The following is a 24,103-nucleotide window of genomic DNA, read 5'->3' as shown; positions in this document are numbered from 1 at the left end:
CCCACATAGACCAGAGTCCAAAGCCAGGAAATAAACAGCAGGCATCTGCCTTTCCAGGCAGTTTCTGAATGAGATATAATGAGTTCTCTTTTGTTTATTTCTAGGGATTTTATATATGATAGAAAGGAAAATGTGCTCTACTGAAGCATATCTGAGTTGTACACTGCATGTGGGCAGAGCTTCCATTTTACTTTTACTACTCAGATGTTCTCAGAAGTAAATCTCATTGGAATGTAAGATCCCAAGGGCAGGGATTTGGCCTGAATCATAAACAATAGTATGCTCTCTCTCTCTAGAACTGGGACTGGCTGGTGATATTTACTCAAAAAGCATTTCATAATAAATATGTATCAGTTAGGTAACTTTGGCTGCAAGTTGCAGAAAACTCAACTGAGATTGCTGTAAACACTTGGAAATTAATCAGCTCAAAAGACTGGAAATCCAGACATAAGACAGATTAAAAGGAAGATATAGGGAACAAGGGCTTACCAGTCTCTGAATTGACAGTGGTATTTAGTACTTCAGAGGATAATGCTCAGAGGAAGACTGCGATGGTCATTAATTTTGACCAACAAATATTTCTGGTTTCTTCCCCAGCACATACAGATTTGCATACCCCTGCTCCCTTGACGTTAGAGATGATCACCTTTGCTAGTACAGTGTGAATAGAACTAATGTGAGGTCCCTCCTTGGTGTGGGCTCTAAAGGCACATGTAGATTTGCATTTTCCTGCTCCCTTGAAGTTTGAGGTGGTTACATGGCTCACTTTTGCTTGTGCAATGTGAATGGAATTGATATGAGTTTTTTCTGGGTATGGGCTCTAAAGGACATTTTTCTCCACTACATTGATAAACATTGTTCTAGATAGGGGCTGTTCTGCTGGCCTATGTCCTGGGGAGAGGACAGCATGGAACTCCCATCACACTTGTGATAGAAATTAATGTGAAAAGTATATAAATCTTTGCTCTTGTAACCCACTAATAACCTAGCCTATCCAGATGAGTAACAAAGAGGAAGCCATCCCTGAATGGTCTCTCAGAAAAGAAAGGGAGATTTTAATGAGAATTCCCCCAAGTCTGCTCCTTTCAACTCATTGGTGTGAATTCTTGTTACTCAGTAAGTCTTTGTCAAAGGAGATCATTGCCCTAAGATCAGTCAGCCAAACCCTAGATTTTGAATGGTGGATTCTAATTTTTTGAGTTTTGTAAGGTATATGTACAGATACATCAAACCCCAAATAAAAAAAGATTTCGATAAGTAAGAGGAAGACAATTTACAACCACAAATCAATGTGATTATTTTTCCATCAGTTGGCTTGAGAGGGTGCTTAACAGCCTGTCCCTTAAATACAACAAGTAGAAATCTCTTTCTTCACTTTTCCCATAATCTCAGCTGGACCTTTCACAACAGAAAAACACTATCTCAAACAACGTGTTTAGGTGATTTCACCTCCTTCTTTTGAGACAGGAGTTAGAGGAGACACAGAACTTAATATAAATTTTCTTGTTACCTAATAAGGCACAGGTAAGATACCCACATAATAAATTTCAAGTATCCAAGAAAATCCAATTGCCCTTATTGGATTCACTAGTAGTACCATTAGTGCAGACTATCAGCAAGTGGTGAGGACAATTTCTGCAATTACTGTTTATAAACTTTCAATTGTAATTTGTCTCATATGGTCATCTTCCTAGATATATTCTAATAACAAACACAGAACATACCAACTACAAATGAACCAGACTTCAAAATCAAGAATTTATTTATAATAGAAATTATAATAGAAGTATTAAGTCCTCTGAGACTTGTATGTAAGTTAACTCATTCCAAATTTCAACATTAGAATGAGTTACATGAGGAACACATAACTGTGTATATTTGATTCTAAAATTCCTATCCTAAGATTTTACCAAGGTGGCTAGTAACCTCTATATTTTTTGTTCTCAAGTCTAAAAAGAAATAAAAGCAAAATATGTGAAATACTCCTTGAGAATGTAAAGACCTTTTAAATAAAATTAGGTGCATGATAAGTTACTCTAACTCACTTTACCTTGAGTCTGATTTATGGGAAGTAACACCACCTCCAATTATGCACAGTGAATTTGAAACTCCTGAAAAGGCACAGTATTAAAACAAGACTGAAGTCCTAAATACTGCTGACAATTCAGAGATTGCTAAGCCTTTGTTCCATATATCTTCCTTTTAGCTCATGGAAAATCTTCCAAAATTGTCTGTTACATCAACTGTGAATCTCTAATACATTTGTTCATTTATTCATATAGAGGAATTCACTTGGAGAAGTGAGAGAAGAGGAGAGAGTGTCTTGGTTGTGAATATACTTAATTGGATAAGCACTACTGTGCCAAAATGTGTATAATAAGGTTTTTGGAAATGTTATGTTTTGGGTTATGTATTTGAGTAATGTTGCTCATTTTATTTCTCCAAGATGTTTTCAAAATGGAGCAGACATTTCAAAAAATGTACCTGCAGCCCTGAAAATAATCCTTGTGCCAGGCAGCAGGGTCTAAAAAATTCAGGGCAGCAGACAAACAATTCATTTCCTAACTTATTTCATTCCATGTCTTGTAGTAAGAAACACAGAGTCTTAATATCTGAAAAAAAATCCTGTATGTCTAGAAAAAAAAAAGAATAGGAATGATTTAAAAATTTGAGACAATGCAGCAATCTAAATATAATGCTAGAACCTTGGTTAACCATAATTCAACCAAGTGGAACCTTCAAAGAATTTGAGAACCAGAAGAAACTCTAGAGGCAATTTAGTCCAACCTCCTGGCAACATAGTCATCTCTTCCACAACATCCCTTTATTAGTGATCATCTTTTCCCTGCAGAAATGTTTCCAGGAGTGGCGACTTACTTCCCGAGATTGCCTATTTGATTCTCACACAGCTCTAATTATCAGATCATTATTTATCAAGTTCTAATTAAAATCTTCTTTCCTCTAGCTTGGCTATAGTTTTTCATTCTAAAATGACAAACATAAGTCTTCTCTTTCTCAAATTAATATGACACTCTAATTTTAGATGTAGGTGAAGAAAGGAGAAAGAAGCAAGTCATTAAAAAGCAAGTATTAAGTGAAACAAGGCAGGTACAGAAAGACAAATATCACATGTTCTCACTCATAAGTGGATGCTAAAAAATGTGTTCACATGGACATAGAGAATGGAATGATAGATAATGGACACTCAAAGGGGTGAGAAAGTGGAAAGAGGGAAAATGATAAGAAATTATTTAATGGTTATAATGTATGTTATTCAGGTGATGGATACCCTGAAAGCTCTTACTTGGCAAATATGCAGCCTATGTATGCAATAAAATTGCACATGTATCCCATAAATGTATACAAATAAACATAAAAATTATTTTTTAATTACATAATTCATTTTTGGACATATTCTGTAATATCTCCATATTTACTTTCAAATTCTCACCCTTATACACCCATAGCAGGAATGATACACACAAATTTAATTATGCTACTCCTCTGTTTAGAATCTTTCAAAGGGTTTTATCTTATCTTAGGATAATATCTAAACTTCTTTCCATGTTTTATAAGGACCTACACATTCAGGCCTCCTGCTACCCCTCTCACCTTCTCAATGCACCCGCCCACTTGGAGATCAACAGTCCCTTTACAGTAAAAGTATTTCAGTACTTGAAAACCAGTCTCTCTTACTCCCCCTCTCTCTCCGTTTCTCTCTCTTGGAATCACCTGTCGAGATTCTTTCATAACTCTTGCTCTACATAACTAATTCTGGTCTCATCTCAAGCAACTTCTCTTGTGAAGCTTCTCTGACCATACAAACTTGGATTTGGTGGATGTTCCACAAGCCCTTGTAGCATCCTATAATCTCATTAACATAGATATTGGTATATTGTATTATAGGTTACTCACTAGAATTGCAAGTTACATAAGAGTAGCAAGTGATATCTAACACATTCACTGCTTCAGTTATTTGTTGTTGCTGTTTGAGGTGGAGTCTCACTCTGTTGCCCAGGCTGGAGTGCAGTGGTACGATCTTGGCTCACTGCAACCTCTGCCTCCTGGGTTCAAGCTATTCTCCTGCCTCTGTCTCCTGAGTAGCCACCACAAGCGGCTAATTTTTGTATTTTTAGTAGAGATGTGGTTTTGCCATGTTGGCCAGGCTACTCTCCAACACCTGACCTCAGGTGATCCGCCCACCTCAGCCTCCCAACCTCAGGTGATCCACCTGCCTCAGCCTCCCAAGGTGCTGGGATTACAGGCCTGAGCCACCATGCCTGGCCTTCAGTTCTTAATCCTATAATGCCTGGCACATGGTTGTGTTGATGAATATTTGTTAAATGTATCCATAAATGATCAAATATGAAAAATAAATGTAAGCCAGTGCAAAGTCTGTCACCTAAGAACAATGAAATTATTTCTAGTATATTCCTCCTAATAAAGCTGGGAATAAACTATTTTAGAAAGTTTCCAATAATCAAAGATAATAGCAGAAAAAGAGATTTCTAGCTAATTAAGCTGTAAGATTCTTGTGGTTAAGGTCTATACCAAGCTTGTCCAACCCACGGCCCATGGGCTGCATGCAGCCCAGAACAGCTTTGAATTCAGCCCAACACAAATTTGTAAACTTTCTTAAAACTTGAAAAAAATTAGACGAATGGATAACTAGAATAACCAATGCAGAGAAGTCCTTAAAAGACCTGATGGAGCTGAAAGCCAAGGCTTGAGAACTACATGAAGAATGCAGAAGCCGCAGGAGCCGATGCCATCAACTGGAAGAAAGGGTATCAGTGACGGAAGACGAAATGAATGAAATGAAGCGAGAAGGGAAGTTTAGAGAAAAAAGAAGAAAAAGAAACGAACAAAGCCTCCAAGAAATATGGGACTATGTGAAAAGACCAAATCTACGTCTGATTGGTGTACCTGAAAGTGATGGGGAGAATGGAACCAAGTTGGAAAACACTCTGCAGGATATTATCCAGAAGAATTTCCCCAATCTAGCAAGGCAGGCCAACATTTACATTCAGGAAATACACAGAACGCCACAAAGATACTCCTCGAGAAGAGCAACTCCAAGACACATAATTGCCAGATTCACCAAAGTTGAAATGGAGGAAAAAATGTTAAGGGCAGCCAGAGAGAAAGGTCAGGTTACCCACAAAGGGAAGCCCATCAGACTAACAGCGGATCTCTCGGCAGAAACTCTACAAGCCAGAAGAGAGTGGGGGCCAATATTCAACATTCTTAAACAAAAGAATTTTCAACCCAGAATTTCATATCCAGCCAAACTAAGCTTCATAAGTGAAGGAGAAATAAAATACTTTACAGACAAGCAAATTCTGAGAGATTTTGTCACCACCAGGCCTGCCCTAAAAGAGGTCCTGAAGGAAGTGCTAAACATGGAAAGGAACAACCGGTACCAGCCACTGCAACAACATGCCAAAATGTAAAGACCATCAAGGCTAGGAAGAAACTGCATCAACTAACGAGCAAAATAACCAGCTAACATCATAATGACAGGACCAAATACACACATAACAATATTAACTTTAAATGTAAATGGGCTAAATGCTCCAATTAAAAGACACAGACTGGCAAGCTGGATAAAGAGTCAAGACTCATCAGTGTGCTGTATTTTGGAAACCCATCTCACATGCAGAGACACACATAGGCTCAAAATAAAGGGATGGAGGAAGATCTACCAAACAAATGGAAAACAAAAAAGGCAGGGGTTGCAATCCTAGTCTCTGATAAAACAGACTTTAAACCAACAAAGTTCAAAAGAGAAAAAGAAGGCCATTACATAATGGTAAAGGGATCAATTCAACAAGAAGAGCTAACTATCCTAAATATGTATGCACCCAATACAGAAGCACCCAGATTCATAAAGCAAGTTCTGAGTGACCTACAAAGAGACTTAGACTCCCACACAATAATAATGGGAGACTTTAACACCCCACTGTCAACATTAGACAGATCAACGAGACAGAAAGTTAACAAGAATACCCAGGAATTGAACTCAGCTCTGCACCAAGCGGACCTAACAGACATCTACAGAACTCTCCACCCCAAATCAACAGAATATACATTTTTTTCAGCACCACACCACACCTATTCCAAAATTGACCACATAGTTGGAAGTAAAGCACTCCTCAGCAAATGTAATAGAACAGAAATTATAACAAACTGTCTCTCAGACTACAGTGCAATCAAACTAGAACTCAGGATTAAGAAACTCACTCAAAACTGCTCAACTACATGGAAACTGAACAACCTGCTCCTGAATGACTACTGGGTACATAAAGAAATGAAGGCAGAAATAAAGATGTTCTTTGAAACCAACGAGAACAAAGACACAACATACCAGAATCTCTGGGACACATTTAAAGCAGTGTGTAGAGGGAAATTTATAGCACTAAATGCCCACAAGAGAAAGCAGGAAAGATCCAAAATTGACACCCTAACATCACAATTAAAAGAACTAGAAAAGCAAGAGCAAACACATTCAAAAGCTAGCAAAAGGCAAGAAATAACTAAAATCAGAGCAGAACTGAAGGAAATAGAGAAACAAAAAACGCTTCAAAAAATTAATGAATCCAGGAGCTGGTTTTTTGAAAGGATCAACAAAATCGATAGACCGCTAGCAAGATTAATAAAGAAAAAAAGAGAGAAGAATCAAATAGACGCAATAAAAAATGATAAAGGGGATATCACCACTGATCCCACAGAAATACAAACTACCATCAGAGAATACTACAAATACCTCTACGCAAATAAACTAGAAAATCTAGAAGAAATGGATAAATTCCTCAACACATACACCCTCCCAAGACTAAACCAGGAAGAAGTTGAATTTCTGAATAGACCAATAACAGGCTCTGAAATTGTGGCAATAATCAATAGCTTACCAACCAAATAAAGTCCAGGACCAGATGGATTCACAGCTGAATTCTACCAGAGGTACAAGGAGGAGCTGGTACCATTCCTTCTGAAACTATTCCAATCAATAGAAAAGAGGGAATCCTCCCTAACTCATTTTATGAGGCCAGCATCATCCTGATACCAAAGCCTGGCAGAGACACAACCAAAAAAGAGAATTTTAGACCAACATCCTTGATGAACATTGATGCAAAAATCCTCAATAAAATACTGGCAAACCGAATCCAGCAGTACATCAAAAAGCTTATCCACCGTGATCAAGTGGGCATCATCCCTGGGATGCAAGGCTGGTCCAACATACACAAATCAATAAATATAATCCACATATAAACAGAACCAGGGACAAAAACCACATTATTATCTCAATAGATGCAGAAAAGGCCTTTGACAAAATTCAACAACCCTTCATGCTAAAAACTCTCAATAAATTACATATTGATAGGACGTATCTCAAAATAGTAAGAGCTATCTATGACAAGCCCACAGCCAATATCATACTGAATGGGCAAAAACTGGAAGCATTCCCTTTGAAAACTGGCACAAGACAGGGATGCCCTCTCTCACCACTCCTATTCAACATAATGTTGGAAGTTCTGGCCAGGGCAATTAGGCAGGAGAAGGAAATAAAGGGTATTCAATTAGGAAAAGAGGAAGTCAAATTGTCCCTGTTTGCAGATGACATTACTGTATATCTAGAAAACCCCACTGTCTCAGCCCAGAATCTCCTTAAGCTGATAAGCAATTTCAGCAAAGTCTCAGGATACAAAATCAATGTACAAAAATCACAAGCATTCTTAAACACCAATAACAGACAAACAGAGAGCCAAATCATGAGTGAATTGCCATTCACAATTGCTTCAAAGAGAATAAAATACCTAGGAATCCAACTTACAAGGGACATGAATGACCTCTTCAAGGAGAACTACAAACCACTGCTCAATGAAATAAAAGAGGATACAAACAAATGGAAGAACATTCCATGCTCATGGGTAGGAAGAAATAATATCATGAAAATGGCCATACTGCCCAAGGTAATTTACAGATTCAATGCCATCCCCATCAAGCTACCAATGACTTTCTTCACAGAATTGGAAAAAAACTACTTTAAAGTTCATATGGAACCAAAAAAGAGCCCTCATTGCCAAGCCAAGTCAATCCTAAGCCAAAAGAACAAAGCCGGAGGCATCACGCTACCTGACTTCAAACTATACTACAAGGCTACAGTAACCAAAACAGCATGGTACTGGTACCAAAACAGAGATATAGATCAATGGAACAGAACAGAGCCCTCAGAAATAATGCCACATATCTACACCCATCTGATCTTTGACAAACCTGACAAAAACAAGCAATGGGAAAGGATTCCCTATTTAATAAATGGTGCTGGGAAAACTGGCTAGCCATATGTAGAAAGCTGAAACTGGATCCCTTCCTTACACCTTATACAAAAATTAATTCGAGATGGATTAAAGACTTACATGTTAGACCTAAAACCATAAAAACCCTAGAAGAAAACCTAGGCAATACCATTCAGGACATAGGCATGGGCAAGGACTTCATGTCTAAAACACCAAAAGCAATGGCAACAAAAGCCGAAATTGACAAATGGGAACTAATTAAACTAAAGAGTTTCTGCACAGCAAAAGAAACTACCATTGGAGTGAGCAGGCAACCTACAAAATGGGAGAAAATTTTCACAACCTACTCATCTGACAAAGGGCTAATATCCAGAATCTACAAAGGACTCAAACAAATTTACAAGAAAAAAACAACCCCATCAAAAAGTGGGTGAAGTATGTGAACAGACACTTCTCAAAGAAGACATTTATGCAGCCAAAAAACACATGAAAAAATGCTCATCATCACTGGCCATCAGAGAAATGCAAATCAAAACCACAATGCGATTCCATCTCACACCAGTTAGAATGGCAATCATTAAAAAGTCAGGAAACAACAGGTGCTGGAGAGGATGTGGAGAAATAGGAACACTTTTACACTGTTGGTGGGACTGTAAACTAGTTCAACTATTGTGGAAGTTGGTGTGGCAATTCCTCAGGGATCTAGAACTAGAAATACCATTTGAACCAGCCATCCCATTACTGGGTATATACCCAAAGGATTATAAATCATGCTGCTATAAAGACACATGCACACGTATGTTTATTGCGGCACTATTTACAATAGCAAAGACTTGGAACCAAGCCAAATGTCCAACAAGGATAGACTGGATTAAGAAAATGTGGCATATATACACCATGGAATACTATGCAGCCATAAAAAATGAAGAGTTCATGTCCTTTGTAGGGACATGGATGAAGCTGGAAACCATCATTCTCAGCAAACTATTGCAAGGACAAAAAACCAAACACCGCATGTTCTCACTCATAGGTGGCAAGTGAACAATGAGAACACATGGACACAGGAAGGGGAACATCACACTCCGGGAACCGTTGTGGGGTAGGGGGAGGGGGGAGGGATAGCATTAGGAGATATACCTAATGCTAAATGACGAGTTAATGGGTGCAGCACACCAACATGGCACATGTATACATATGTAACAAACCTGCACATTGTGCACATGTACCCTAAAACTTAAAGTATAATAATAATAAAATAAAATTTAAAAAAAGTGTTATGAGACATTTTTGTGTTTTTTTTAGCTTATCAGCTATCGTTAGTGTTAGTGTATTTCATGTGCAGCTCAAGACAATTCTTTGTCCAATGTGGCACATGGAAGACAAGAAATTGAGCATCCACAGTCTGTATCTTATATTTAATTTTCTTATATTTAATTTGGCACAAGGTGGTTTTTCGGTTATATCTTTGTCGGTGGATGTAAGTCTTATCGTGTTGTGATTAAATTATGGGCATGTTTGTAAAGAGTTACAGTTCCATGACCAGTTTTTAACAATAATTTTAAAAGGCTCTATACACACTCAACTATTATTCTCAACACTAGAAGAACATAACTTACCCCAAATCCGTGTTTTCCTTCTTTTGGCAATGAATAAATTGGGTTGATAAAGAAGGTTGTTTCCAAATCTCACACTTAGGGTGGACTATTAAGTCACTACATGCTATCTCTTACAGGATAAGATCATAAAAACAAATTAACAAAATGAGTAAATAAATGACCAAGAGATGTATGGTTTGCCTTGTAAACCTTAGCACATTTCCAGCTTTCCTTATTACTTACCCAGCACGGACCTACAAAACAGTAAGCCATCAAAGAAGCCTCCAGCTACATTTTATGTAATCAATGCCATGAGTTATTGCCTGGCCCCATTGCACAAAGGCTGTTTCAACCTTGAACGTGGCCTTTTGTTTGAATGTATCACCATATGTTCACAAATTGCTATGCAAAGATGGATTGTTCCACAGTCTCCTATTAATATTTTGCCTGGGCATAATGTTCACTTTTATTTGTCTAAAATGTTTTAAATTGCCAAGTGATTTTTAAAGTAATTGTTAAATTTTGCAAGTAGAGTCTTCCATTCTGTGATTGAATTGCACAGTTGAAATACATGAAGGCATCATGATCTGAGTTAGAATGGCATAGTAAAATAAAGATGACAACTGTCACGTTTCAGTTAAAGGGATTGGGGCTGAAATCCAGGAAATAGACTTTGAATGTATTTTTTTTTCTTTCCATTGCCCTACTGTTCATATTCAGCTCATTAGTCTTGAACTAACATAGTAGAATGATCTTTTAGGGAATTTAAATCACTTGAACAATACTCATTCCAGAGTTTCTGTAAAGGGTAGCATATGTCCCTAGTAAAATCTTTAATATTAATGGTCTCAATTATTCCTTTGTTTTCTTCAAGGACACAACCAGTGTGACTCTGTTTCTCAAAGGGTAGGGAGGAGTCTATTTGGAGACCAGGACTTCATTTTCCTCCTACCCATGTCAGCCTACTTGTCCTCTGTCATGCTATCTTCATTATAAAGCAGCACCCAGTAGTCTACAGAAAATGTGGCCTAGGAAAAATCACAGAACAGCATACCATAAGAAGCAACAACATAAGAAAGGTCACACATACAGACATACACACACACACAAATTTTAATATCCTCTTAGCAAAATGTGAGATCAGGACACAAATGAGACATTGAAATGGTGTAACTTTTAATCCTTTTGCATTACCATATCATAGTGTTAAAAATACTATTTCTGGCTGGGTGCAGTGGCTCATGCCTGTAATCCCAGCACTCTGGGAGGCTGATGCAGATGGATCACCTGAGGTCAGGAGTTCAAGACCAGCCTGACCAACATGGCGAGACCCCATCTCTACTAAAAACAAAAATTAGTGGGGCATGGTGGTGGGCACCTGTAATCCCAGCTACCTGGGAGGCTAAGGCAGGAGAATTGCTTGAACCTGCGAGGTGGAGGTTTCAGTGAGTCGAGATCGCGCCATTGCACTCCAGCCTGGGTGACAAGAGTGAAACTCTATCTCAAAAAAAAAAAAAAAAAAAGAAAAAGAAAAAGAAAATACTATTTCCTTATTGGTCTCCCCCTACAGACCCTCCCCAGGGAATAAAAACATTTTATGGTTGTTATTTATGTTTCCAGTGCCTCCTGGGGAGAGAAAGGCCTAGTGACTAAAAACATAAATTTTAGAATCAGTCATACTTCAGTATGAACCCTGGCTCTTCTACTTAAAAGCTATGTGGTCACAATTTTCCCCATTTGCAAGAGGTAAAAATAATAATGCTGTGTTGATGTGATGTGATATGATGAGGGGGTGATGTGAGGAATGAATACATTTTACATATAAAGTGTATAAGTCTGTACCTAACTCACAATGAGTACTCAGTAAAAGCTGAGCCATGATGACAGTAAGGAGGATGAGCTACTTTAGCTCGGAAACACATTGGAGAATACTACAGGATACTTTTATTTCTCTGTCTTAAATAAAAAGGTACATACTCAGCAGTATGTGTAAACTGAGGCTTAGAGATATTTACTATACTACCCAAGATCAGACATCTAATAAGTGGCAGGGCTTAGATTGAGGCCAAGATGTGTCTGAGTTCATAGCCCATATTGTTTATTGGTCTACCATATTGACAGCATAGCCATACATACTCTGGGGAAGTGAGTGAATCTCTCATGATAATATGAAAAGCTCTCATTCTAGGTCTTTGTCCAATATTCTGGCACCTTTGCTTGCAGTGGTCCTATTTTACTGTCATACTGTACCTCTCTTTCCTCAGACGTAAATGGGTATCTTAGTAATACTAATAGCTATAGGATTGTTAAGGGGATTCAATGAGTTGATAAGCCTAAATCTCTTAGACCTTTGCTGTCACATAGTAGGAAACACTATATTCCTTAGTCTAGGTTTCTAAGTACTTTTATTATTATGATTATTGTTACTTACAGCATGAAGGGAATGCTTTCAGTTTTGAGTAACAGAGATCCAGCTGGAAGTGACTTAAGCAAATAGTAACATAGCTTTTCCTCATGTAATTAGAGGTAGAAAAAGGCAGCTCCTGGCCTTGGTTTCATGGTTTTATGATACCCTCAAGGACCAAAGGTCTTTCAGTCTTTTTACTCCACTACATTTAGCTTGTTGTTCTTTAATTCTGGAAGTCTCAGGATATCTTCCAGAGATCCAAGATTCACACTTGTATTCAAATTAGGAAGATGGGAATAGAAGGAACAAAAAAAAAGTAGTACAAGTGGTGACTGCTCCTTTCATGACAAAAATGAAATTTTCCTCAGAAGACCATCTCTGCACCCCACTAGAAGACATCCACAGATTTTTCCTTGACATAGCTAAGTCAAATGGCCTCCAAGGTAGACCAGGAGAGTGACTTTAGGTTTTTTTGGTTTTATGTGGGAGATGGCCAGGAGAATGGAATTAGGAATTGATGTTGGGTGGAGCACCCAAATCTGCCTGCTATATTCACACAGATACATTTAAAAGTCCTGAAATATAAAGTAAGTTGATGGAAAAGGTATCATCTATACTGATTTAACTTTAAGCTTTTATTTCAAAAGCACTGAATGAAATACAGAGAAATTCTATTAAACTGAAATACAATGTTCTCATTTTTGGCAGTGTGTTCAAGTTAACAGTGAATATTTAGACATTCCTGTGTCCTGGGGATTTATCTACAGAGACAATCTCAAAACCAGCTTTGAAAGCCATGAACACCGTATGTGGAATCCTACAAACTGGTTACCCTTGACACAAACCTTGCCTGTAGGAAACTGACCATGAAACCCTGAAAGTTTATAAAGACCAAACACTCCAGAAAGGTTTTCACCTGACTTGTTTACAAAACAATGTAACTTGCTATCCCAGTATGTTAATAAATAAAAACACACATAGAAATTGGTTTTGGTTGATAAATTAGAATTAGGTGTTTCTGCGAGCACTTTCACTGGAAGTACTCTTTGATTAGTGAATTTAATTGTTCTATTATCTTTGTCAAAAAATTCTATAATTTAGGCCGGGCACAGTGGATCATGCCTGTAATCTCAGCCAAGGTGGGTGAATCACCTGAGGTTCAAGACCAGCCTGGCCAACATGGCTAAACCCTGTCTCTACTAAAAATACAAAAAATTAGCTGGTGGTGGTGGCGTGTGCCTGTAGTCCCAACTACTCGGGAGGCTGAGGGAGCTGGAGGTTGCAGTGAGCCAAGATCTCACCACTGCACTCAAGCCCGGGCAACAGAATGAGACTCCATCTCAAAAAAAAAACAACAAAAAAATTAATTCTGTAATTTAAAATAGCATATAAAGTTGTGTTTTAGATAGGCAATCAGGTACTTGTAAAGGCTTAAATTTAATACCTAGCTATTTCAAGATAGTTGCTTGCTAAGTATGTATTTGAAACCAATTTTAATGAGAAAAAACAGACTCATCATATTTGCAAACAGACATATTATGAGTGACTGACCAAAATTATAGAGAAGATAGAGAATATTTTGGAAAATGCAAATGAGAAAAATTAACGGCACCATCATTAAATAGCATTATCTGCATTGTGCCTATTTGTAATAAAATTATTATATCACTATTTGCTTAAGTCATTTCTGGTTGGATCACTCATAACAGAAATATTCCTTTCAGTAATAAGCACAATGTGACAAGGATATTTAACAGAATTTCATATACTAGAATGTGTGTAAATGAGATATGGGTCAAGTAAAAAATAAAAAGAAATAAACAAAAAAGATGTTATTCAAAGAAATGTCACAAAGGGTCCCCTCTAAGGCCACTTTCCAACGGCAGAACTTTTCACAAGTCACTTTTTGACATTTCTTTTCCCATAAGTAATTTAAAAATAATGATTGCTGTCCTGCTAGGCGGTCAAGAGAATTAAAATGTGAACATAGTTAAAACCCTTCACAATACTTGGTATAGATAATGTATTTAATACATCTCAGTCCTGCTTCCATTTCCTCAGAAATATCAGCAGGGATTTTATGTCATAAGTCTATGTTTAACTATTATAGATAACTAACTGCTATTTAATTTCTCTGTACTTTGGTTTCTTATTTGTAAAGAAGAAATACAGTACTTTCCTTCTTAAGACTTTTTTTAGGAGTAGTGGACATGCCTGTGGTGGTCAATTTTAATGTGTCAACATGAAGGGTATTTTTAGATGAAACTGACTTTTAAAATGATAAACTTGGGGTAAAGTAGATTGTAGTCCATAATGTGGGTAGACTTCAACCAATCAGGTGAAGGCCTGACTAGAACAAAAAGACTGGCCTCCCCAAGGAAGTGGGGGATTCTCTAGCAGACTGCCTTTAGATTTCATCTGCACTATCAGCTCTTCTGGGTCTCTAGCCTGCCTGCTGTTAGACTAGAACCACAACTTGCTCTCCTGGGTCCCCAACACGTTGGCCCATAAGACAGATTTTTAACTTGTCATCATCCATAATTACATAAACCAATTCCTTAAAATTAATAAATATACATACATACATACATACATACATACAACATCTTGATTCTGTTTCTCTGGAGAATCCTAACTAATACAATACTTTACAATGCTTCCCATGATTTTCTCCCCCTAATAATATCCCATGGAATATCAACAGTTTCTTTCTCTCTCATTACAGGATTTGAAAAGGACATTACTATGACATTTTCAGCCTTAAGGAAAATAATTCTGAATTATCAAGCTTGTAGTTATTTTTTACACAGCAATAGAAAACTAATATATGCCTGTCATTATTAAACAGAATGAGCTTCTAAATTTTTTTCTCATTAACTCTGCAAATTTGGTTTCTATTATTTCAGTGGTTTTAATTCCCAGAGATTTGATTTATATCAAACCAGCATACTGAGTTCCTTTCTCAGGGCAAAGGAAAAATGGAGTGGAAAGTGGAAGAAAGAAGTTATAAGTATGAATCATAAGACCAGTTCAGAAACAAAGACTGTAATCATGTTGTGAATTTTTTGTTTTCTTTGCTATTAATATGTTTGCATATATTTGTTATTTTTTCTCTCTCTCTCAGCCCCATACTATCTAATGTAAATGTGACAATCACATTTCAACCCACATCTCAGTATCTAAGTATTAGAATATCAAAGCCGGAGTAAAACTCAATTGGAAGAGCAATAAGTTTCTCCAAAGATGGACAGAATCCATTAGATTAGTGCTTCCTCTTTCAGGGAGAGATTAATTTGTCTTCAGCTGTATGTGGAAAAGATACAGTTGTGTATGAGATAGTGGCATCATATGAAGCAGAAGCAGGATATTGTTCATTTTATTTAGAACCTAAATATGAATAAAAGGAAATAAAAATGCTAAAGTGACAGAGGGCAGTGTACCAGAATGGGTGAATGAATGCTGTCCACATGGCAACATCACCACCAACCCTTTTTGTATTAGTTAAGGTTCTCCAGAGATACAGAACCAATGGGAAATAGATTTATTATGAAAAATTGTCTTATGCAAGTAAGGAGACTGAGAACTCCTATGATTTGCTGTCTGCATGCTGGACGCCCAGGAAAACCTGTGGTCTGAGAACTCAGGAAGTCAACAATATAGGTCCCAGTCCAAGTTCAAAGACCCAAGAGCTAGAAACACTGATGTCTGAGGGAAAGAGAAGATGAATGACCCAGCTCAAGCAGAGAGCAGAGAGGGGAAGAAAGAGAGAGAGAGAATGAGAATGAGACATTTGTTTCCATGGGATATTATTATTAGGGGTAAAAAAATCATCATTTTGCCTTTGTGTTCTGTTAAGGCCAAAAATATATCAGATGATGCCCACCCAAATTGGTAGGGGGATCTCTACTAAGTCTACTGATTTAAATGGTAATTTTTTCCAGAAACACTCTCAGAGACACACCCAGAAATAATATTTTATTAGCTATCTGGGCATCCCTTAGCTCAGTCAAGTTGACACATGAAATTAACCATCACAACCATCACTCCTATTAAGACTAGAAACTATACTTTCCAGAATCCCCTTTGCCATACAGGCCAGTTTTGAATTTTCGAATGAGAGGAAGTCATGTGACATCAACAGACAAAGTGAGGCAGAAGCTACTATTTTTGAAGGCTGTGGTAGTCAGAAGTGGTAGGCTTCCACATCTCTTTACAAGTTCGCCTCCTTGGTCTTGGTACTATGCAGATGTACTCATGACTGGTGGCTTTCTTCTCCAAATGCAGTGCTTTGGACTGTATAGTGACCATTTATGCAACCCTCCAAGTGTGATTTCTCATATTTTCATTTGCCCAGACCTCTCCCCATTTACATAAGCTCTAATTTTAGTTCCATAATACGTATAGTGGTTCTTTTCTGCTGATTAAATACAGATTAATGTGATATGTAAAGTGTAGTAGATGCTGTGCTAGTGTTAACTTATTATTTCCAAGTATTATATCTTTGAGTAAGTGCATCTTGGCTTAAATCTTCCCAAAAAACATTCTTGCTTTACTCAGTAAGACATCAAATTATGTACTAACAAGGGGCCTTTCTTTTCTATTAGAGGCCAAGTAATTAAAGCAAGTCATGATTTGACTTCAGTTAACCTCTTGACAAGATGACTTGTTGTGCATGGGTATAATGGAATGTCATCTACAGAGAAAGCAGACACTTTGACAGTTAAAAATTTGTCAAACTGAAGTTTCTGATCTGTGATAAATCACTTTGGAGCACAAGAAAAGTTTGGACTCATATATTTTATTCTAGACAAGTTGGCTCAATAGAAAGAGAGCTCAGGGCCAGAAAGCACATCTCCAATTGGTCAAATGTGCCAGACTCAAATGTTAATCTCTTTTGGCAACACCCACACAGACACACCCAGGATTAATACTTTGTATCCATCAACCCAATCAGGTTGACCCTCAGAATTAACCACCACAACGTGGAATCATATAGTTAATATGTGTTCTTATGTGGCTGGTTGCTTTGCTCAATATTATGTTTACAGAATTTGCTTATGTTGTTCCATTTAGTAGTAGCTCATTTTTAATTGCTGCAAGCATTACATTGTATAAATCTACTACATATTATTTATCTATTTTAATACTTATTAGAAGTCGGGTTATTTCTAATTTGAGGCTATTATATAGTGCTCCTTTCTTAAACAGTCATAAAATTTCATCCCTGAATGCTGAGCACAACTGAAAATATTTTGAGTCATCTAAAGTGGTTTTTTTAGGGCTCAGCTTTATGGAAGAATACAAGAGTTTCCCGTTACTCAGAGAGCATCTCAGTATCTCTCAGAAAATGCCCCATATTTACCCATAAAGTAACTTATATGTAGTAGTTTTTGTCTTGTTTTTGCCTTTGTTAGGAAAAAAAGAAAAGACAACTCCTGTGGTCCAGTTTATAAGCAATTTTTAAAAATGCCTTCACAAGAAGAGAATTGGAGAAGTTATACTGTTTTGTTCATAATGCAATTTTATCAATCATAGATGCAAGGTCCATTTTTATTGATTTATCTTTTTTTGTTTGTCTACTTTAATAATACAGTAAGCATCTATGAAACTGCCATCCAACTCACAAGGTAATATCTTGGCAATAACTCAAATCTACCTATGTTTTCTGACCAGGCAGGTTGAAATCCTGCCTTGTCCACCTGTGCTAACCAGTATTCTGAATCCTCTGTATATTAACTTGATTACCTTTTAGGGTAATCTTCTCTATACATGGCCTCCAGAAATATGATATTCTCAAGATTTTCTAAATTGTTACTAAAATATGCAAGGAATATTTATGTTTTGGAGCTTACAATGTTATTATATATTGCTGGGTTTCTGGCCACTATAGAATAATTGGTACTGGACCAGCTTTTCTGTTGTCAATATCTAAAACTCATTAACAATATTTGGGTCCGGGCACGGTGGCTCACGCCTATAATCCCAGCACTTTGGGAGGCTGAGGCAGGTGAATCACCTGAGGTCAGGAGTTCGAGACCAGCCTGACCAACATGGTGAAACCTTGTCTCTACTAAAAAATAAACAAATTAGCTAGGCATGGTGACAGGCACCTGTAGTCCCAACTACTTGGGAGGCTGAGGAAGGAGAATAGCTTGAACCCAGGAGGCAGAGGTTGCAGTGAGCCGAGATCACGTCATTGCACTCCAGCCTGGGCAGCAGAGAAAGACTCCGTCTCAAAAAATGAATAAAATTAAATTAAAATTTAAAAAATAATAAAATAAAAATATGTGAAGTAACTGTTTTCAGACACCAGACAACAAGCAGTACATGACAACAATCCCTGAGAAAACTCATAGAAAACTCGTAAAGTTCCTATTTTGTCCCATCTTTCTGCATAGGAACAGTTTCTAGAATGTTTCAGATATGGAATACAAGCAGAAAATGGTGGTCCTACTGAGCTTAGATGGCAGAGGGTAGAGTTCTAGGCTGCTGAAATGTCTCAAAACTGCAGGGCAAGGTACTAAAGAGAAGGGAGTTTCACAGAGAAAACAAATCTAGAAGTCTGTGGAAGGAAGTTAAAAGCAATTATTTGGCAGTGGCTAGACTTTAGATGCTTACTAGGGAGTTACTGCTATTGGGTTAGGGACAGAATAGAGATAAAAGAACAAATAAAGTAATGCTGAAAGATAATGCAGTTCTGGACCATGCCGAATAAACAGATCTTGTTAACACCATAGCCATCCAGGTGAGACACCAGATCACACATTAGGACTAAGGACCATGGTCTAGGGTAAAGTCTACTCTGGATTTCTACTAACAGAGACAAAACCAAGCCTCAATAAAAATGGCATGGTCCTCAGAGTTTGGCGCTGAGTCTTGCCAAGTTTGAGGAATTTGGCAAAACAGCATATTGGGCCATCAGCAATACATAAGAAATATTTGCAGGATAATTTGAGTATATTAGGTAGCCTTAGTACCCCTTATAGATACATTGATTAATCAAAGGAAACTTTGGATAGATAGTTGTTATAATGGATTTTTGTTGGCTTATTTTCCATTATCTACTCCCATTGTTCTAGTAGAAGTCCCCTGATATCCTTTTGAAAAGATCAAAAATATTTGACTTCAGTTTTGATGAGATTACCAAAAAAGATATCTTGCCCGACCCTGGATAAATGGTTTTCATTTCACCTAAGTGAGCCTAGCTGGGCTCTTCTTCTTTTCTAAGACTTTGAATCCTCAGTGAAATAAGTACAGAAACAAGCACAGTGAATTCATGCCAACATCGATGGCCCCAAAACGTAGTATATTAATCAAACTACTCCCTGTAGCATATGTCTTCAAAAATGATATAATCCTCCTATTATTTCACTCTTTTTGAGCCTACCTCTTTATGTTTCATTTCTTATGCTACCCAAGTCATTATAGTAAGTTTGAGTTCATAAGAAAAAACAATAAAACTGTTTTGCTTACGTGTCATTGTCTCTCTTTCTGTTGCTTATAGCCAAAGATCCTTGGCTAACTAGAACTAGTACTTAGAGATGTCTTCAGAGTTCGCTGCCAAGCATTGCATCATTGTGAGTTGTCAGCACAACTTCTCAGGAATTAAAGGCATCTTCTCATCTGCTTGGGTTTCATGTTTATGTGTGAGTTTATTGCAATAGGATTTGGACTTCTTCCAGCTGAACACAAGGGAGAAGCTGCTGAAGATGACTCAAAAGTCTTTTAGCAATTCTATTCCCTTCTTCCAGTTTGTCTTTGGATGAGCTTGGTTTATGCTCCTCTGTCTGGTCAAGCCTCAGCAAGTACATAATGTGACTATGACACTGGTTGTGAACAATGGTTTTGCGTATCTTCAGAAGTAAATTAACATGTTTAATCTGTTACATTGGCATCTCCCAATATAAAAGTAAAACCTAGTTACAATTCCCCAGTGTTCCAAGGGATCCACATTAAAAAATATTTTTTCACCAGCGCTTACTAAATTCAGACCAAGCAAGTTAACAGAATCACTCCTAGTTGTCCGTCTAAAGGTGGGAATTTTCAATTATATAAACAGTTCTAGGCCCGCATATGGCAAGGGGGGATGGTCAATAAAAGGGTATTTAGCACAGATACTAACTCCTTATATGGACTAAGGAGAGACTTTTCCAGAAAAGTGAGAGGAATGTTCTTACCCTTTGTTTTACTGTCCTTAGGGCAGAATTTGTTGGTCTTTCACTTTATATATTCAATGCTTTCGTTCAGCAATTTCCAGTATACAAGGTATTTTACATATATAATTTATATGAATGCTTACAAAGCAGAAAGAGTAAGAAGGCATAATTTCTCATCAAAGAGACTTTCAGCATTTCCACACAATATATGTTCCCTTCCACTGGGCACAATGAGGAGAGAGACAGCCTGTCTTATGGATTCAGCTTAAGAACATACTCATAGCTTAAGAACAATGGATAGAATCTTTTTAGTGCCATCTTTTCCTGTGAGGGGGAGAAAATAGCATGAAAGCCTCAGATTCTACTTATGGGATCATTCTTTATGTCTCCTAAACCTCATACCTGGCTATAGTAACTGTGGGATTCTTAAATATTTTCTCATTCTTTCTCTTTTAAATCATACATGGGGAAGGAGATGACAATGTATTGTGTCTGGCTCTTATTATTTTTATTTTAGGTTAGATTACTAGAGCACAACCCAGTGGAAATATGTGGTGGAGGTCAGTATAATTGTTGATACTGGTCAATGTCCAGTTAATATGGTTGATAGGATCTGGCTGAGTCTATCCCAGTCTATTTAATGTAACTCATGTAAACTGAACTAACAAGGCAAAGTGATCCAAACATTGAAAAAAACAGTTTTAGTAATCTGTAGACAAATCTTTTAGTTGAGAAAACCTATTACTTGTCTAAATTTATAAAACTTACAGACATTTGCCTAGTCCTCCACTTTATATGCCCTCACTGTATAACTGGGTTACAGACAAAACATGTACTCTTATTGACTCACCAGGAGTGTTCAGCTCAAAAACTCTGTTGAGGCATCCTTCCTAAAACTCTACTATATCTGGCCTGTTAGGAGAAAACTTGTAATCTTTTTCTCAAGTATAAAGATGGAAACCTAATAAATTCTGAAATACACACGATTACTAAATATACAGCTTTTTATGTAAATTAACATTGTATAATAATTTACTAAAGTGGTGTGCCTATAGAACAAATGTTCATAGATTAATGTTTCAGGTAGATGAAGTTTGTCCACATCCCCATTACCTTATGTCTAACCAATGGTTTTTAAGATAATATTTTTGGCAAGTTCTCTGTCTTCAATGAGAGAAAATTTTGATTTTTTGTAACTGGAGTTTATATTATTCTACAAGATTAAGGTAAAGTGACTCACTGAAAATATTACATTGACTACTGTTATGGTAATATTTTATTGTCATGGCACTATTAATTTACTAATATTTTGGACAAAAGGAACATTTTTCAGATAGACTGTCTAGAGGGCTCTCTTGATTAAGATTACTTTATTTCTGTTTGTGTGTTTGAAAAGAAACCAAGGAGAATATATATAATAAAATAGATAAAAGAGCTAAAAAAGGAAACACAATTATTTTTGCAATTTGAGTACTTTGTTTCTGATTAATTCTGATATACCACAAGGCGAATATAACTAATAAATCAAACGGAGTTAATCTAATTACAAGGAAATTCATAAAATAGGGATATTAAATGGCAAAGTCAATGATTGTATATTTACTCGTTAAAATGCTATGTAATAGTGGACATGAATGTTTGTGAAAATAATGTTTCATGTTTTGAGAAAACATACTGTTTGTTATTTACTACTCTAAGTGCTTCTAAACTCATTTAACCCTTAAAACAATCCTATGAAATAGATGCTCTTATTATCCCAATTTTATGATGAAGAGAAAGAGTGCAAGATTAAAGAACTTTCCCAAGATCCCACAGCAGGTAAGCCGATGGGGCCAGGTTCTGAATTCTGAATCCAGAGTTTGCACTTACACTGTCTTCACTGTCCGTGTTTCATCAGAGAAAATGTCTGTGATTTTCTGATTCTGCAAAACCAGAGCATTGCATTTGCTCATAAAATGCATGAACTGATTGCCATAGTGGTGGCAAAAAGACTATTTCTGGGGGTCTTTAGGAGAAAATGAGCAGCATTAAATCCTCTGCTTTACTGTAAACATAATTTTCTATAGAATAGGGAATGCCTTTAACTTAAAAAAAAAAATTTAAACAGCCTAGGAGGCTGAATACAAATGTAGTGGATATAGTCTATCTCTTTCCTACAGGTGACAGCTGAGGGCATGATTAGCTTCTGGAATGCTATCTACACACAAGAAATGAGTAGATTAACTATCTCCACTGCTCATTCCTAGGGCACAGACCTGCTCTGAGATAACCATAACTCTAAAATGCCCAATAATTTATCCCAGCTATATTAGAAACTTCTTTGGTAATTTTCTCAGTCTGGTAGGAAAGTTAGTGAAAAAGGGTACCTCTGTCCCACAAGAAGACATTTTTTTTTATTTTTAAAAATTCTAGCGCCTTCATTTTTTCAGGTACCTTTCTTTTGTTGCATGTACAAAATTCTGAAGAAAGGGCGAACTGTTTGTTTTCTCTGTTGAAACCGACCTTGCCCTTTCAGAAAATTACTACCACCAGTAAATTCACAGTATACTACTAGTGTAATGGAAAATATTTGAAACTATTTTTTGGGGGGGTAAGGTTTTGGATTTTTTTCTAAACTTTTTTTTTTTTAAATTCAAAGGTCCATGTGCAGGTTTGTTATATAGGTAAACTCGTGTCATAGGGCTTTGTTGTACAGGTTATTTTGTCACCCATCTACTAAGCCTAGTACCCAATATTTATTTTTTTCTGATCCTCTCCCCCCTCCCACACTCCACTGTCAATTTCCTGTGTTCGTTTGCTAAGGATAATGGCCTCCAGCTCCGTCCATGTCCCTGCAACGAATATGATCTCCTTTTTTTATTTAATGGCTGTATTGTATTCCATGGTTTATATATACCACATTTTATTTATCCAGTCTGTCATTGATGGACATTTCGGTCGATTCTATGTCTTTGCTATTGTGAATAATGTTGGAATAAAAATACACATGCATGTATCCTTATAATGTAATGATTAATATTCCTTTGGGTATATACCCAGTAATAATATTGCTAGATCAAATGGTATTTCTGTCATTATGTTTTTGAGGTATTGTCACACTGTCTTCTACAACGGTTGAGTTAATTTACACTTCCACCAACAATGTGTAAGCATTTCTTTTCCTCCACAACCTCACCAGCTTCTGTTATTTTATTTATTTATTTATTTATTTTGAGATGGAGTCTCGCTCTGTCACCCAGGCTGGAGTGCAGTGGTGCAATTTCAGCTTGCTGCTTCCTCTGCCTCCGGGGTTCAGGCAATTCTCCTGCCTCAGCCTCCCAAGTAGCTGGGAATACAGGTGCGCACTGCCGCGCCCAGCTAATTTTTTGTATTTTTAGTAGAGACAGGGTTTCACCATGTTGTCCAGGATGGTCTTGATCTCCCAACCTCGTGATCCACCCACCTCGGCCTCCCAAAGTGCTGGGATTACAGGCATGAGCCACCATTCCTGGCCCAGCATCTGTAATTTTTTGACTTTTTAATAATAGCCATTCTGACTGGTGTGACGTGATATCTCATTGTGGTTTTGATCTGCATTTCTCTAATGATCAGTGACGTTGAGCTTTTTTTCATTTGCTTGTTGGCTGTGTGTATGTCCTTTTTGGA

This window comes from Homo sapiens, chromosome 5, assembly GCF_000001405.40.
Source record: "Homo sapiens chromosome 5, GRCh38.p14 Primary Assembly".
Taxonomy (NCBI): domain Eukaryota; kingdom Metazoa; phylum Chordata; class Mammalia; order Primates; family Hominidae; genus Homo; species Homo sapiens.
This window is presented reverse-complemented; position numbering follows the sequence as displayed.